We start from the raw sequence: 15,970 nt of genomic DNA, 5'->3' as shown, positions 1-15,970 counted from the left end.
AGGAGGCTCCTCACCAGAAGCCATGCCTGCTGAGTGTCAGGCTTCTGCCTCCAGAACAGAGAGGATAAGTGTTTGCTGTTCGTAAACTGCCCCGGCCATGGCGTGTTGTTCCAGCAGCCGGAGCGGAGACAAGCCACTGCGGAAGAATTAAATGTCACAAAGTCGACTTTGCGGTGTCGTCAGAGGCAGGGCTGAGAACCTGATCGTGTGTGAAGACCAAAGGTTTAAGTCCAACCTCAGCCCCAGACTGTGGCTTCTGGCAAGTCACATGGACTTGGAAGCCACGGCTGCCTCCTCCTCAAAACAAACGGTGGTATTTGCATCCGTAGAGTTTAGAGTTCACCCAAATGAAGTAACTAGATCCAGAAGCGTCAGCCTGGTTAAATTTCAAAAATATGTGTGGTAGGGGGAGAAGTACATACATGTCAGGAAAAAAATCTATACTGAATTTTTAAAACCAAAAAAAAACTGTATGGTTTACAGACACATGCATGTAGGGAAGTTTAAACAACAGCTGCAGGCCGGGTACAGTGGCTCATGCCTGTAATCCCAGCACTTTGGGAGGCCAAGGTGGGAGAATCACTTGAGCCCAGGAGTTCGAGAACAACCTGGGCAACATGGTGAAACCGCATCTCTACAAAATGCAAAAAAAAATAAAAATAAAAAAATAAAGAAAAAACGAGCCGGGTTTGGTGACACACGCCTGTAGTCCCAGCTATTTGGGAGGTTGAAGCAAAAGGATTCCTTGAGCCAGGGAGATCAAGGCTGCAGTGAGCCAAGATCGCACCACTGCACTCCAGCCTGGGCGACCGAGTGAGACCCTGTCTCAAAAATAAATAAATAAATAAAAATAAAAAATTTAAAAAGCCACTGCCAATGCCAGGACGGTGTGGGAGACGGGCAGGAGCAGCACTGGCTGCTTCCATCATCTCTGTCATTGTTTCAGTTCTTGGAAAATAATTGAAGCTACCCTGAGCTGTACGCTGTACAATGGTTAACATTGTGTTATGTACAATGGTTAATGTCGTGTTATATAAATTTGACTTCGACGAAAAACAACTGAAGCAAAAATAGCAAGATATTTCCCTCTGTCAAACACGGGTGGTGAACACATGAGCATTCTTCCATGGTGATCTATGCTGTAACTGCGCCACAGTTCTTAATGAGGAAGATAAAATGTTAATAGATAGGAGAAACCCCGGGATGGGACCAGGTGACTGCCAGGACCTGCCCAGCTCATCAGTGCCTGGGGCAACTCTCCACACAGACTCTGTGCTGTCCTGAGGGCCAGAGCTACACACAGACACCCAGATCTCCCGGGCTCCCCAGGCTCACTTTGGACTGATCCCTGCCTGCCCTTTGGTGGTCTTGGGGGCTCACCGAGTGTTGGATGTAGCCCAGCAAAAAAAGTCACACAGAAATCGCGAGCAGAGGCCACGCCCACAGCGGCCAGCAGCTGCCAGGAGGCTCCACCCTCCATCGTTGCTTCGGTCAACTCTCCACTCCCAGCACGTGGCCCAGAGCAACTAAGCCTCGCATTACAGTAAAATCAGTGCTTCCATCGGAATGTACGGTTCCTTCCTGGGAAGTTCAGGCCAATTCTAAAACTCACTCCCAAGCCATAAACAAGCTGCCTCGAAAGGGCATCCATCATGTCCCCGTCCTCCAGATGCCCTCATGGGGACCGCCTCACCTCACCCAGCATGGGTCACCCAGCACCATGGGACTGCTAGGGTGAAGCCAGCTCAGGGCCAGAGAGGGCTTCGCCTCATTACAGGGCCAGGGCAGGTCCTAGGCCTGGGGCGGGTCTCTGGACCAAAGCCTGCTGCACTGCCCTTGTTTTGACCTGAAGTCATTTGTTACAAGGACCAAGAGACTTTTGGAGAAAAAAAAAACATCTCCTTAAACACGAAACAGCAACATGATGCATTCAGGTCAAGAATTTGGATGTGTCTCTTTTTTTCCAGTTCAAAAACGTAAAGTCTCTCCAAGTGATGTTTTCACCAGTCTAAAAATACCACCTAGCCATAGAATTACATGGGAACAAATTGTCAGCATGCTAACACTGGCCAGGAGAAACTTGGAGGAGCTCTCTGAAATGATTTTTGTAAAAAAGATTTGACCCTTAGGTGTGAACCCGGGAGGCGGAGCTTATGGTGAGCCGAGATGGCACCACTGCACTCCAGCCTGGGTGACAGAGTGAGACTCCGTCTCAAAAAAAAAAAAAGATTTGGCCCTTAGGAAACCATGTTTTCAAATTGTCTGCTATGTCACTAAACATTTCACCACACAGAAAAGAAACAAAAACCCACTTACATCCAATCGGGAGTCCCACCGAACGGAATGGTTCCTCGTCTCCCCGGAACCCTGCAAGACAGCAAAGTGAGTGCAGCAGAAAAGAGAAAAGGAGGCGGGAGGTGCCCCGTGAAAGCCCACCCGGCACTCACTTCTCACCACCACCGCCGCGTTGGTGGACACTTGTCCGTGGGCATTGGTGGCCACTGCTGAGTATGTCGCAGTGTCGTCAAAGTCTGCCCTTGGAGAGAAAAAAACAAGAGAAAGTCTGCGGGACTGTTGTGTAAAAGTCAGTGACCCGAATTGCACAAAAGCATTCCTCGAAAGCAAATCACATGGCGTGGTTTATTTGTTCATGAGTGATTTGTGCAAGAACAATGCCAGCTCTGTCCTTGGAAAGGTGAGGCAGCACTCGGTATTAATTATAGACACAGATGAAGGCCTGATCCCAGAAGATGGTGCAGTTTCGGCCTTAAGAATAAAAAGGTACTGGCACTCCTGAAAATCCTTTGTTCATTCTCAAGGAGAAGTCTCTATTCCATTCTGGTCCTATTTTTTCTACCTCTATGGAATGCGCGGTTTCATCTTGTCAATGGACAGCCTCCCGTGACCTCAAGCTCCAGCAGAACCAGTCGTGATGGGATGATACAGAGCCTGCCTGGGAGAGCCGTGGACCTGCTCCGTGTAGGAGCCAGGATGCTGCCAGAGGAGAAGGCAGAGTGCTGCTTCAGGGAGGCCCTGAACCATGGCGGGGGGGTCCATTCCATGCAGGAGCCGTTCCCATACAGGGAGTCGTTCCCATGGGGCAGTCCATCCCATGCGAGTTCTAAGGTGGTCCGGGAGCTTGAGCTTTGCTCCACTCTCCAGGTGATCCTGGTGCACACGTGCATTGAAGAGCTGCGCCCAGGATGCTCTCTGCCTAGTGCACATGGGCATTGAAGAGCTGTCCCCCGGGATGCTCTCCGCCTGGTGCACACAGGCATTGAAGAGCTGTACCCAGGATGCTCTCTGCCTGGTGCACACGGGCATTGAAGAGCTGCCCACGGGATGCTCTCCGCCTGGTGCACACGGGCATTGAAGAGCTGTCCCCAGGATGCTCTCCACCTGGTGCACACAGGCATTGAAGAGCTGTCCCCAGGATGCTCTCCGCCTGGTGCACACGGGCATTGAAGAGCTGCCCCCGGGATGCTCTCCGCCTGGTACACACAGGCATTGAAGAGCTGTGCCCAGGATGCTCTCTGCCTGGTGCACACAGGCATTGAAGAGCTGCCCCCGGGATGCTCTCCACCTGGTGCACACAGGCATTGAAGAGCTGTCCCCAGGATGCTCTCGGCCTGGTGTGCACAGGCATTGAAGAGCTGCCGCCCCCCGGTATGCTCTCTGCCTGGCGCACACGAGCATTGAAGAGCTGCGCCCACGATGCTCTCCATCCTTTAATGCCCCTGGGATGAGAATCCTGGGATGAAACCACCGAAAACCCATCGAAGCCCTCAACACAGCTTGTACCTGGCGTACACAGAGGGTTCCAAGGTGCAGAGACCGATTAACTTCTAAGTGACAAACTCCCTGTTCCAAAAGCAGATTCTACAACCCTACCCAGCTCCCCAGTAGGATTCCCATGCTAATAAGAGGCTACATCCAGAATCCCAAAGTAATATGATCCCAAGACATGAATCACCCACTCAAGGGTGTATTGAAATGTCTGAGTTGGACTCCACCTGAGACACTGATGTGTGTTTATCCCTGGGAAAACAAAACAAAACAAAAAAAAACATGACTTAGGAATAGCCAGGCTCACAAAACCCAAGTACCTGTGGGGGTGGGTCTTCTGCTTCCCCATATCCATGGTACTAAAGCTAAAACTTCTCTTCTTGGCTGTGAACTGTCTTCCCACCAGCTTCCCCAGGAAATGGAGACAAGAGGGGGTAAGGAAGAGGCGCTAAGATCAGCTGAGCTTTTACTCAACACCAAGCCCTCCTCAAGTCACTTCACATCAGCATTTCCACGTTCATCCTCAAGTAGCCTGGAAAACAGACATCACTATCCCACTAGGATGGTGAGCAATCAACACAGTAAGGTAAGAAGCTAGGTAAACAAGGTCCACGTGACTCCAAAATTGCATTCTTTCTGGTAGCTCCTTTCCAAGCCATGGACACCTGAGCAGAATCTTAACGTGGGAAAAGAAACAACACAAAAAGTCCCCACTTTTGAGAAAAGCAAGAGTTACTCAAGTCTCACTTTTCAAATGCATTAAGAAGCCAGTGCCTCCAGAGACAAAATCCATTCCTGCGAAGTCATTAGTAATTTTATTTTCTTCTCTGTTCCACTATACGTGCTGAAAATATTTTCTTAGATCAAAAATTTCCGTTTCTCCAACAAAAGGGAAAGAACGTGTCCGAGAACTGTGCTATCTACTGAGAATTCTTTCCCCTCCTGCTGAAGTTCAAATCCAGTTTCAATATGTCAGATAAAACCATCTGACCTCCCTAACTGCCGTTGCTCAAGGGACAGATCACACACCAGAGCCCAGTCTGGGTAGATTTTCAAACCAAGAACATTATCTTCTAGTTCACCGTGGAGGAATACAAGCCGAACTACAAAGCCATCAGCAAAGCTACAATTCTAGCCTGAACTCATTAGAAGCTACGCTGCTGTCCTATTTCCAGATCACCACAGGCACAGCCATGTCCCCAGGTGCAAAGCAACAGTGTGTGTAAAACACATAAAAACCCCATAAGTAGAGGCTTTCTCCAATGCTAAGCATTAACAACCTGTGCTGATCTACCCATATAATTCACACATAATACTCACATACGCATCCCCACAGGGAGCGCATTGTGCTGCTGCCTCTCAGAACATGCCTGGGACTGGGGTCCGCGGTGGAAGGAGGAGGTGCTTCTCTGCAGGACCCGTGGGCATTGCTGCATTTTGTTTGTTTGTTTACTTTGTGCTCATGTTACTTCTTCTAAATAATAAAACCATTATGTTTTCAAAAATGCATTCTCCAAACCCAAATATATTCTTCTTTTGGGATTCATCCTAACCCTTCCTCTACAACGATCCCACCCCCACTAGCAATAACACAGCAGATGAGAGAAACAAGGGCGACAGCCTCCCACAGGCACCGCTGGAAGGATTCGAATGCCAGAGTATATGGAAGTGAGCAAGGCGGTCTGTAAAATCTGCTTGATCGGAATCTGCTGACCTGGAGCCTGTCCTGTGAACGCACAAGCCAGGTGGACTCAGATTCTCAAGGAGGGAGCCATAAACCAGAGAAGCACAGAGCAGGTGCACGGGCAGTTCCCGTGCAGGAACCGCTGCACGTGACCCTGCTGGACCAGGGCAGGACTCACGGGATGTGACCCGGCTGGACCAGGGCACGGGCTGTCCCCAAGCCCAGCAGGTCACCGTCATGACCAGTTCCTCAGTGAGGAAGGGTGAACGCCTTGACCCACCCTTGTACTCGAGGAGCGGGAGTGTGGGCTACATGGACAGGGCTCCAGCCAACCCCTTGAAAACCCTGCTGCTGCCTGTTAAGTAACATCAACAGCGTTCACACTGCGCCCCACGGCTCTCAACTGGAATCTCCCCCGTGTGCTGCACATTTCTTCCTCCGTGTGTTTTAGCCGTTTTTAAACTGTGGTGTCAGTGTAGACTCAGCTCATCACACACCTGTCAGGCACGAAGCCCAACATGAACCTTACGCAGCCACTTAACTCATGGGTACCGGGGCCTCAGGCAGAGCTTCTCCTACTACCTCTATGTAATTGGATAATATTCTGAGATGTCAAGGTAAAAATGTTTTCATTTGAAACTACTTGTCTTGGATTCAGGATTTTTTTCAATATTGGGCAATGAGAAGAATAGAGAATAAGAAGAAACACTGGGCAATAAGAAGAAATAAGAAGAAAATCCAGGGCAAAAATAGTTGCCGAGGCTCTTTTTTGTTGAGATGGAGTCTCACACTGTCACCCGGGCTGAAGTGCAGTGGCGTGATCTTGGCTCACTGAAACCTCCGCTTCCCAGGTTCAAGCAATTCTCCTGCCTCAGCCTCCTGAGTAGCTGGGATTACAGGTGCGCACCACCACACCCAGCTAATTTTTTGTATTTTTAGTAGAGACAGGGTTTCACCATGTTGCTCAGGCTGGTCTCAAACTCCTGACCTCGTGATTCACCTGCCTCGGCCTCCCAACATGCTGGGATTACAGGCATGAGCCACCGTGCCTGGCCTGCCAAGGCTTTTACACACCTGCAGCTGCCAGCCTCAAATTCTCCTTCCAAACTGGTGCCTTCATGAGACCAGCCCGATCATTCTTATCTACTGACTATATAATAAACACATTGTGGGTATTTTAGACTTCTAGAATACATGTATTGAGCACCCACACTTGACTAGGGTGACTTTGATGATTAAATAAAACAATGTACTTGAAAACATTTTGTGGTTTTATCATATAATGTTAATCTTATATATTAGTAACTAAGAAATAATAGCTGAATTCCTGAACCAAAAGTTCAAAGATGATTCCTTCTGGCCTCTCCTCTACGGAAATCCCTCCTTGCCCTTACAGTCCTATAAAGCAACACAATTTCTAAGTCTTTTGAGAACTGCAATGAATTGCTGTTTCACAGCTCCTGGGCAGGGGATAGCTGGGAGGGGTACAGGAAGGGGATAAACCTTGTCTAAGAATGTAGGAAATAAGATCACTGGTGCCAGGAGAGGAGAAGGAGGAGGGGGATGGAGGAGAAGGAGGAGGGAGATGTGTTCCCCAGGCCACGGCCCCCCTCGCCAGCCAGCAGCCTCTCCCAAAGGGCAAGGAGCTTGTTTTTCAATTGACTTCAGGCATTAAGATCCCAGGGGAGTGCAACCTCGCGCATTAGCACTGATTAGCTCATCAAGTCACCAATTAGCACTTGGTGCTCAGAGGCAGGAGCCACTGGGGGAAGAAGCCCTCCATCCGCTTGGCCTCCCGCAGCGACTGCAAAACACGTGGGCTCTCCGAAGAGAGCGCTCTCCTTCCTTCTGTAAAGAAACCCGTCACCGGAGCAAAGATCCCGACCCACTGACGACGGCGGTGGCCCCACTCCATGCAGGAGGCGCCCCGCTAAGGAGCTCGCGGTCACCCCCACGGTGGGCACGGGTAAGTTAGGCCTTCTGTTTATGGTTCCCGCTGTCTCACCTTTTCTCTTTCGACCTTGTTTCATACTGTATGAAGTGTGTTGGAACACAGGTCCCTGTGTAGGTTATAAACAAACGCAAAGACCTGCCCTGGGAGGGAGGTAAGGGCACCCTTGCCCTGCCTCCCAGGGTTTGCCCCCTGCCTGCCCCGAGGCCGGGAAGCAGGGGGCCTGGGCAGACGACGGAGCAGATGCAGGAGGAAGGGCGGCCACTCTCGCGGAGACTTCCTCAGCTTAGCCTGTGTCCACTTGGGATTTGGAGGCAAATCACAGCTTTGGCCCATGGGCAGTTTCCAAAGGACCCCCGTCTTCCTCCCCTTCCCGAGGCCCCACACAGGCACTCAGCTCACCCCCAGTCTAATTCCAGCCTTTGCTTCATGCTGTGAGAACTTGCAAGCAAGTGAGGGAGAGGCAAGGGTTTTATTTCCTGTTCTGACAGGTTCCCAGAATAGATGGAGAGAGTCTTCTCTGGTCTCAATTTATACAAACGTCCATGGCGCCCTTTGGCATCCCAGAGTATCTGTTTGAAGGCCCCTAAAACAACCCCCTGGGAGAAGCTGGTTCTGTCCTGTCTTAAAGATGGGCAGCCATAAGGTTAAGTGCCATATCAATTCTCATGGGCAGCTGGGGCCTCATGTCCTCAAATTATAAGTGGTGATGACGCTGGATTTATAATTTAATTAAATCAAAATTTAAACATCAAGCTCTAAAAATAAAGTACAAAAAACGTTTCACCCTAAAATCACTCAGCAAAGAATGAATGGGGAGTGAGCACGTTACTGATAGAAAACCAGATAGATTGTTCTATTATAAATACTTTCATAAAAATATGAGAACATCATATTCTTTGAAGAATGAGGGCTCACATCATGAGTCCCATGGGAAAATCTTATGAGCATATAAAACAGTGTCAATTACAAATTTAAAATAAAATAGTACCAAGGGGGAGCTTCTTTTTCAGCACTTTAAGAATCCAGCTACCGTGGCCAAGGAATATTCATAGGAATAAATGTCACTCATGTCACAGAAGGAAAAGCTCATTCCTGAGCCAATCAAGAGGTGGGTGCCAACACATTCTGCCACTGAAAATGGCCACAGATCGGATGACCGGCGGCTCAGCAGTTTGGTATGAACAGCTGAGACAAGCTGTAATTTGTGGGTTTATCTCATTGCTCTTTTCCCGAAGAATATTAACATTTCATCTGTTTGGAGCTTCCTAGGACCAACAAGAATACTGAGACAAAAGGTGGTCTTGGAAGTTTCCTTTTCCCAAGTTTCCCAAATATTTGCATATGCAAGCAAAATCCAAGTCCATCAGAGGAGACCTATATTAGGGGATCATTGACTTGTGGTATTCCGGGGCGGATTCAACGACTTTATCTCACAAATTAGTCCATTCCGTTCGAAGCCCATGTGGTGCCCAATGTAAAGTTTAAATGTTGCCAACACCGATGTCAACGCAACGTTTTTCATTCTTGAGAAAGGTATATCATTCTTTTCTTTTTAAAACAATTATCAGAACACAGCTTGGGAACAAGCTGATCTGGAACTCAGACCAACCTACTTACCCCTAAACATTCACAGCACACACAGGGTAGAAAGCAGACAGCCCCACATACCCATGAGCTGTCCAAAATGAAGGCAGGTGGTCTCTTTCTAGACATGACGGCCTACGGTCTATTAAAACTCCCACAACTTTCGGAAATCCAAGGAGAGAAAGTTTCTCTCTGAAAAACTTGGAGAGGGCCCCAGGAGAGGCATCCTTTGCAGCCTGTGCCTAACTCCACTGCCCAACCCAGGCCTACCCCGCTGTGATGGCCACAGCTCTGAGAATACTTGGACCCCTCTCTTTCACTAATGCCCAGTCGAGCCCAGCAGCAAATCCTGCTGGCTCTACCCTCAAAAGCTGCCCAGAGCACCCACTTCTTCCCACTCCCCTGCTCCCTCCCGCTCCCAGGCCTGTGTTCCTTCCCGGATTCTAGCAAGGGCTCCCACCAGGCCTGCCAGGCCCTGCAGCCTGTCTGCAGTCAGAGTGATCCTCTAGAGGTCAATGTTACATCCTTCCTTCTCCCCTCAGCCCTCTGGGGTCTCCCCGCCTCCCTCCAGCAAAGCCAATGTCCTTACAATGGCCCACGGGGTCCCCGTGATCTGCAGGGCCACTGGCTATGCCTGTGACAGCTTGTCCCCTGCCAACCCCCCAGCCCAGGACCCCCAATGCACCTCTCAGAGCCTTTGTGCCAGGGGGCCCACCCACTCCACAGCTCTGGGTCCTCTACTGGCCTTCAAGCCTTGCTCATGTGATATCTCCATGAAGGTCCACCTGGCATCTATTTCACACCACAACGGGCCACAGCCCCCTCCCCTCACCCACAGCTGCTGTGGCTGGCTGTGTCCTTCACTCATCAATTGCCTCCTGATGCCAGAGAGTGGGACCTGGAAGGCGGCATCCTTGTCTTGGCCCCTGAAGCCTCTCGAACATCCAGGATAGCACCAGGCACACAGCAAGCTCTCTGTGAGCAGGGCCAAGGAGCCCGCCAGAAGGAGAGCTTTCCTAGAGAAACCCGGATTTATCTGGAGAAATGAGGTAGGATGCCCTGCAAATTTCAATCTCAATTATTGCCTTTCAACACCCAACTCTAGTGAATCTGCAGAGGGTGGACCATTCCAGCAGGACAAAGGCCCCAGGCCCCATGCAGGCTCCTGGGAGGAGGAAGCAGGAGGGAGTCCCACACACAGAGGAGCTGGTGGACCCCCTGACTCGGGGAGGGGCACCACCGGGCAGAAGCCATGCTCAGGCCACCAGGATGAGCATCAGGAAGAGCTGGCTGAAGCCACCGCCCCAGGTAGAGTCGGGAACAGGAGGAAGGGAAGGCAGGAAGAGGAAGAGTTGGTAAGGATGCTGGGGGAGGGCACAGGGCAGGAGCCAGACAGAGGGAGAGAAGCCAGGCAGAGCCCAACTTTCTGCCAGGCTGGACGGGGACAAAGACTAGTCCCTTACTAACCACCAGGCTGGAGGGGACAAAGACGCCCTCCCTCACTAAACACTGGGCTGGACAGGGACAGAGACACCCTCCCTCACTAAACACTGGGCTGGACGGGGACAGAGACGCCCTCCCTCACTAAACACCAGGCTGGATGGGGACAGAGACCCCCTCCCTCACTAAACCGGAGACAGCTCCTTTCAACCCTCTTCCCAACCAGGCCCCAGGCTTGGTGGGCCCTCAACAGTAAGAATCCCACCAGCTCAGCCCAACTCAAGCCCCTCCCTCGATAGCAGATGGGCTCCTCAGCCCTCCATCCCCAGGGATGTCTGATGGCCCCAGCCTGCCTTCAGCCAGAACCCTGCTGGGGAGGCTCGGCCGGAACCCCCTCACCCCCATCTCCCCCTAGTAATTTCCCATCCGCCCTACCCTACTCCTTGGTCTCACTCCCACTTTCCTGCTGTACTCAGAGCTGAGCCCGGTTTCTCTCCCCCAGAGCAAGAATCCCTCCCTGTGGTCCTTGAAGGAAGTCTTCCTTAATGTCCTTAACGAGTGTCAGGATAACTTTTTAACAGGATCCAATGTATAAAAGCTTTAAAAAAACAAACAAACGAACAGAGCAAGACTTTCCTTCCAAGCAGGCTTCTGGGGAGGGGAGGCAGGATGATCAATCAACATTTGTGTTCACCCTCCTGAGCTCCTCTGAGCTCCCTCTGGGAATTAGCAGGCACCTTTTCCTCTGAAGAACAGAGGCCTAACAATGATGCACTCACTGCTTTACAGTTTAGTCAGAATAAAATCAATAAAATCGTATGTTCCAATGTCTCACTTATTTTTTACCTTATTTATACAAACATCCCTCATGTTTTCCTAGAAGGGATTTGATATAACTGACTACACACACAAGCACACACACCCCACACCTCCCGTTATATATATAAACATATATAAACACAACATGCATCTTCTTATTGGAGTCTCACAGTAACTCTTTTAGTCCTATAGAGAAGATAAAATTGTTACTATCTGTCTCTTGATAATTGTTTTCAGGAGGCGTTAATGGCTTATTCAAAGTCACATGGTAAATGTGGCCTTCTGGCTCCTGGACAAGCGTGTGCTCCTTAAGTTCAAAAACAGGCAGTCAGGTTCACTGGAAAAATTAACATGAGAGCCATAGGAAGGTGCCACAAGATACTACTGCTGAAAAAAGCTGACTTGTGTAATGTCAGGGTCTTTTGTGAAAAGTAAAAACCGTGTATGCACAGAAACAGAAAAAGAACAGCAGTGTCTCACTTTTATTTAAAAAATGAAATGTGTGGGCCGGGGGCAGTGGCTCATGCCTATAATCCCAGCACTTTGGGAGACCGAGGCAGGTGGATCACATGAGGTCGGGAGTTCGAGACCAGCCTGACCAACATGGTGAAACCCCGTCTCTACTAAAAATACAAAATTAGCTGGGCGTGATGGCCCATGTCTGTAATCCCCACTACTGGGGAGGCTGAGGCAGGAGAATCGCTTGATCCTGGGAAGTGGAGGTTGTGGTGAGCCGAGACCATGCCATTGCACTCCAGCCTGGGCAACAAGAGCGAAACTCTGCCTCAAAAAAAAAAAAAAAAAGTGTGTGTGTCGCGTGAGGAAAAAAGAAATGCCAGCTATACAGCAACATACTGACCCTGGGTGCTGGATGTATAGATGATTGTTTTTCTTTTATTTGTCTACATTTCATATACTTTTTTGATTTGTTATAAAAGAAAATAAAGGTTATCATTCTTTGAAGAGTCTGAACTTAGGGTGTGTTTCTCGAACCTGGCAGGAGGTGTCAATGAAAGCTTCTTGCACTGCATGGCAGCCTTTCCACCCAGATGCCATTACCTTTCCCTGAACTATCTACTGTCTTTATTCCCAGAGTTTGCATTCCTCTGGCCAGACACTAAAGAAAAACAAAGGGAAGCTTCCAACACCAGTACCATTAACTCATAAATGCTATTTAAAGTCACCCGGGGTGCAAACAGACAGGTGTGATTTGGCCTCCAGTTACCCATCTGACTTCTTCTTTGGGGTCTGCAATGCTGATTACTGGACGCCAGCGTCCAGAGCCCCCACCACAGCCATACCTGTTGATCTCCAGTGTGTGTACGCCATAGTTGCTCTCAATCCTGTACTTTCCCGGTTCAGCCGCCTGGCAAATCAGACTGCCATCTTTGTACCTAAATGAGGGAGGCATGTTTTTAGTTTAAAGGCAGAGTTGTATTTTGTGTGTGTGCAATTCTGCCCCAGCTCCCCCGCGCCTGCTGCCCATTTCTGCAGGTTTCCCTTAGAGCCTCAGGCGGGAGGAGGACAGAGCCCTGACGGTGAGGCCCAGAGTTCGCACTGGTTTTGCTTTCTAAGGCGAGAGCAGCGCTTTCCTCGTTCAGACTCTCAGGGGATTCCCCATTCGGCAGATCAAACACCTGCCTGACCTTTGTTAGGAATTCAGGACTTGTCATTCCATAAGAAACACTGGGTGCTGGATCCCGGACCCGCCTACTTAAGCTGCAGTGTAGCTAGTGTCTCAGGGAGTTCTGCGGGACCTAACGCACTGACCCTGGTGAAAGGAAGCTGGCTTCATGGCTCCATCCAGGAGGCAGGACCACATCCACCCCAGCACCTCCGCATCAAGAGCAGGCGAGCCTCAGCCTCCCAAGCCTGTCTTCCAAAGAACCTCAGGATCCAGCCATCAGCCACGATATGCCTGGTCTGTGGCTCAGAGTCCCAACCCCACATATAAATGCACATAGATATATACGTATAACTTTAGCAATATATGTTGATACAAAAAGGGTCTTGAGGGCTTAAAGATGTAATTCTTCAATTACCACAGCTTCATTAACTGCAGATCTGCAGTCCCAAAACTTTAGAGTTTATGCTTTCCACTTATGAGTTTTCCATATTGAAAAGCAGACTTTCCAGTTTTGTGTACAGTCAGCAATCATGCACGTGCTCTTGCAAACAGGACAACAGCCATGATCATTTCAGGGTAGTGACTTTTAAACAATACACTCTGGTCAGGCGTGTGGCTCATGCCTGTCACCCCAGGACTTTGGGAGGCCGAGGCAGGTGGATCACTTCAGGTCAGGAGTTTGAGATCAGCCTGGCCAACATGGTGAAACCCCATCTCTACTAAAAATACAAAAATTAGCCAGGCGTGGTGGCGTACACCTGTGGTCCCAGCTACTCAGGAGGCTGAGGCAGGAGAATCACTTAAACCAGGGAAGTGGAGATTGCACTGAGCTGAGATCACACCATCACACTCCAGCCTGGGCAACAGAGCGAGACTCCATCTCAAAAAAAAAAAAAAAAAAAAAAAAAAAAAAAAAAAAAACCCTCTGAAAAATTTGTTGACTCAATGTCATGAAAATAAAAATGTTTGCATATGAGTTAAAGTGAACGTTCAGAGCTTCTATAAACATATTTCTGCTTAGAGTTTCAAGGTAAGTGGCCTCCAGCACAGGTTCAATGGCGTTTGTCTCCTTAACTGGGGTCTTTCTGAAAGAAAACGCAGAATGGACTTCTTCACCCCCTGGGAACAGAGCCCCTCACCACTGCACCACGGGCGTGGGAAATCCTTGCACGGTGAAGCAGAGTTTCACAGACATCCTCTCCCAGACGGTGTGGGATCGCAGCCGCACCAGGATCTCAGGAGCCCTGCTTATCCGCTCTTCAAATGTGTGTCTCTCCCAGGCCAGCTTGTCCTCCATCTGCCCCGAGAAGCAAGGATGGTCAGGTTCCCAGGCAGCGAGCCAAGCTCCACCCTCGGCCCCTCAAGCACCATGCAGACAAGCTAAGATCTAGTCCACGCTTCCCAGACACCCAGCCACCCTGAGACCCTCCTACCATCTGCTGAATGGCGTATTTGTCCAGCTTGTCGCGGGCCTGGGAGCGTGCCAGGTGGACATCCTCCTCCAAGTGGGCCAGCTCGCTGAGGAAGCGCTGTCGCTTGGCCTCACCATAGGCGGCCACCAGGGACTGGTACCTGCAGGAGCCGAGAAGCAGCCTCAGTTGCAGGAGTCACGAAGAAAACCACGTGGCCCCCGAAGGCCGGAAAGGGCATGCCCATTCTCTCCCTAGGGTTTCCTTAAGTGCGTTCAAGAAGAGAACAGGAGAAATGCTACTTCTGCTCATTTGAATCTATCTTCAAGAGTATATTTTGGTGTGTGAATGCCATGCATGATGAAGTTGTAAAGAAGAACATGTATGTGATTTATTAATAAAAAAATACAGGAAGTGCCTGCCCCAACTTTCTTTCACCACTGACAGTGCACAACTGCAAACCGCTTGGAGGCCCTAAGAGATGCTTTGGAGAATTACCGTGAGCAGCAAAAGACAACAGGCACCCACTCAGAGAGTCGGGAACTTAATCTGAGGCTCTTAAAAACAGAGACATTGTTACTCATCTTCGTGTGCACAGAAACTCACATGCAGCAGGTGCTCAGTAAAGACAGGGCAACTCGGGAAATCAGGGAACTTCTGTGGATTTATCCGATAAACGGCTTGATGCTTTCCCAGGTCTGAGACTCAAAACTGTTAGGTGCTACTGGGCTAACGGTGCTATTGAAGTCAGTTCCATGATTTGAAAATGTAGGAAAATGGTGAGCTCCCCATGTGTGAGTTTTCCTCTGCAGGGCAGCAAATAAAAGCCATTTATTTTCCTGAGAAGGATGCAGTTTCTGAGTGATTTTAAAACTGAATTAAAGTATTTTGAGTTTAAAAATATACAGATAGGAATGTCTGAATACTAAAAATAATAATAATAAATAAAGGATTAAAGGATTCAGCATCTTCAGTCCTTAGGGACTCAGAAATGTTCACATCGTCGCGGCTCACATGCCATTTTGTGAACCCCACAAATCGCACCCCAACACGGCCAGGCCTGGCCTGCCTCCATGCTCTGAGATGCTCTGGAAACCCTGCAGGAGCTCTTTCAGCCTCATCAACCTCCCTCACCATCGCGTTCCCAAGGTCCCACTGAAATTAGGACGCTCGCTGTTCTGCTCCCCTCTTGGGATTCTGTCCCACTCGTGAGAAACATCTCACTGCCATCCCTTTCAATCAAAACTCCATCCTTCCTCCAACACCCATCTCAGATGCCATGTCTCCCACGGAGCCATCCCTAATCCTCTCCCCTGTGTCTTGAACGCCAGACCTCCTGTTATTTCTCTTAGGGCCTTTATGATCGTAATTTGCATACATTTTATCCTTCCCAGGAGAAAGGATTGGCTACTTCTCACCTCTGTATTCCCCAGCTTCAGCACATAGAAGATGTCTCATAAATACTCAGTAGTCTAAGTTAGGCTGGGGGAGGTTCGTTCCCGAGTGGCAGGGACAGGAAGCTGCACAGACGGCCTGGGAAGGAGGCGGTGGAGGGAAAGGTGGCCGAGCCGGAGCGCCGCCTGTGGCACTGTGCACGAGCCACCAAGAGGCTTCTTGGCCAGGGCCACATCGCACAGAAAGTCCCGGTATCGGAGCTGGAGGGGACC

At 49.7% G+C, this 15,970-nt stretch overlaps 1 protein-coding gene across 1 annotated transcript in view, besides 4 other annotated features; it reads right to left on the bottom strand.

The window, feature by feature from the left end:
- The window catches only part of MYOM2 (myomesin 2), a 100,411-nt gene that overhangs the window by 73,643 nt on the left and 10,798 nt on the right, over positions 1–15,970 (bottom strand). The window contains exons 4-8 of the mRNA NM_003970.4: positions 14,328–14,466; positions 14,034–14,191; positions 12,569–12,661; positions 2,448–2,536; positions 2,317–2,367 (exon numbers count right to left, since the gene is read on the bottom strand). Coding sequence (NP_003961.3) covers positions 2,317–2,367; positions 2,448–2,536; positions 12,569–12,661; positions 14,034–14,191; positions 14,328–14,466 — 530 coding nt within the window. The remainder of the gene's footprint in view (positions 1–2,316; positions 2,368–2,447; positions 2,537–12,568; positions 12,662–14,033; positions 14,192–14,327; positions 14,467–15,970) is intronic.
- Positions 6,900–7,447: an enhancer, noted in NCBI's record as "NANOG-H3K4me1 hESC enhancer chr8:2012487-2013034 (GRCh37/hg19 assembly coordinates)". NCBI's record gives its function as "activates a minimal SCP1, AML or CMV promoter by ChIP-STARR-seq in naive H9 embryonic stem cells {active_cell/tissue: H9 hESC(naive)}" and the evidence as "EXISTENCE:reporter gene assay evidence [ECO:0000049][PMID:30033119]".
- Positions 9,145–10,065: an enhancer, noted in NCBI's record as "H3K4me1 hESC enhancer chr8:2009869-2010789 (GRCh37/hg19 assembly coordinates)". NCBI's record gives its function as "activates a minimal SCP1, AML or CMV promoter by ChIP-STARR-seq in primed H9 embryonic stem cells {active_cell/tissue: H9 hESC(primed)}" and the evidence as "EXISTENCE:reporter gene assay evidence [ECO:0000049][PMID:30033119]".
- Positions 10,066–10,988: an enhancer, noted in NCBI's record as "H3K4me1 hESC enhancer chr8:2008946-2009868 (GRCh37/hg19 assembly coordinates)". NCBI's record gives its function as "activates a minimal SCP1, AML or CMV promoter by ChIP-STARR-seq in primed H9 embryonic stem cells {active_cell/tissue: H9 hESC(primed)}" and the evidence as "EXISTENCE:reporter gene assay evidence [ECO:0000049][PMID:30033119]".
- Positions 13,821–14,321: an enhancer, noted in NCBI's record as "H3K4me1 hESC enhancer chr8:2005611-2006111 (GRCh37/hg19 assembly coordinates)". NCBI's record gives its function as "activates a minimal SCP1, AML or CMV promoter by ChIP-STARR-seq in naive H9 embryonic stem cells {active_cell/tissue: H9 hESC(naive)}" and the evidence as "EXISTENCE:reporter gene assay evidence [ECO:0000049][PMID:30033119]".

This window comes from Homo sapiens, chromosome 8 (assembly GCF_000001405.40).
Source record: "Homo sapiens chromosome 8, GRCh38.p14 Primary Assembly".
Classification (NCBI taxonomy): Eukaryota; Metazoa; Chordata; class Mammalia; order Primates; family Hominidae; genus Homo; species Homo sapiens.
This window is presented reverse-complemented; position numbering and strand designations above follow the sequence as displayed.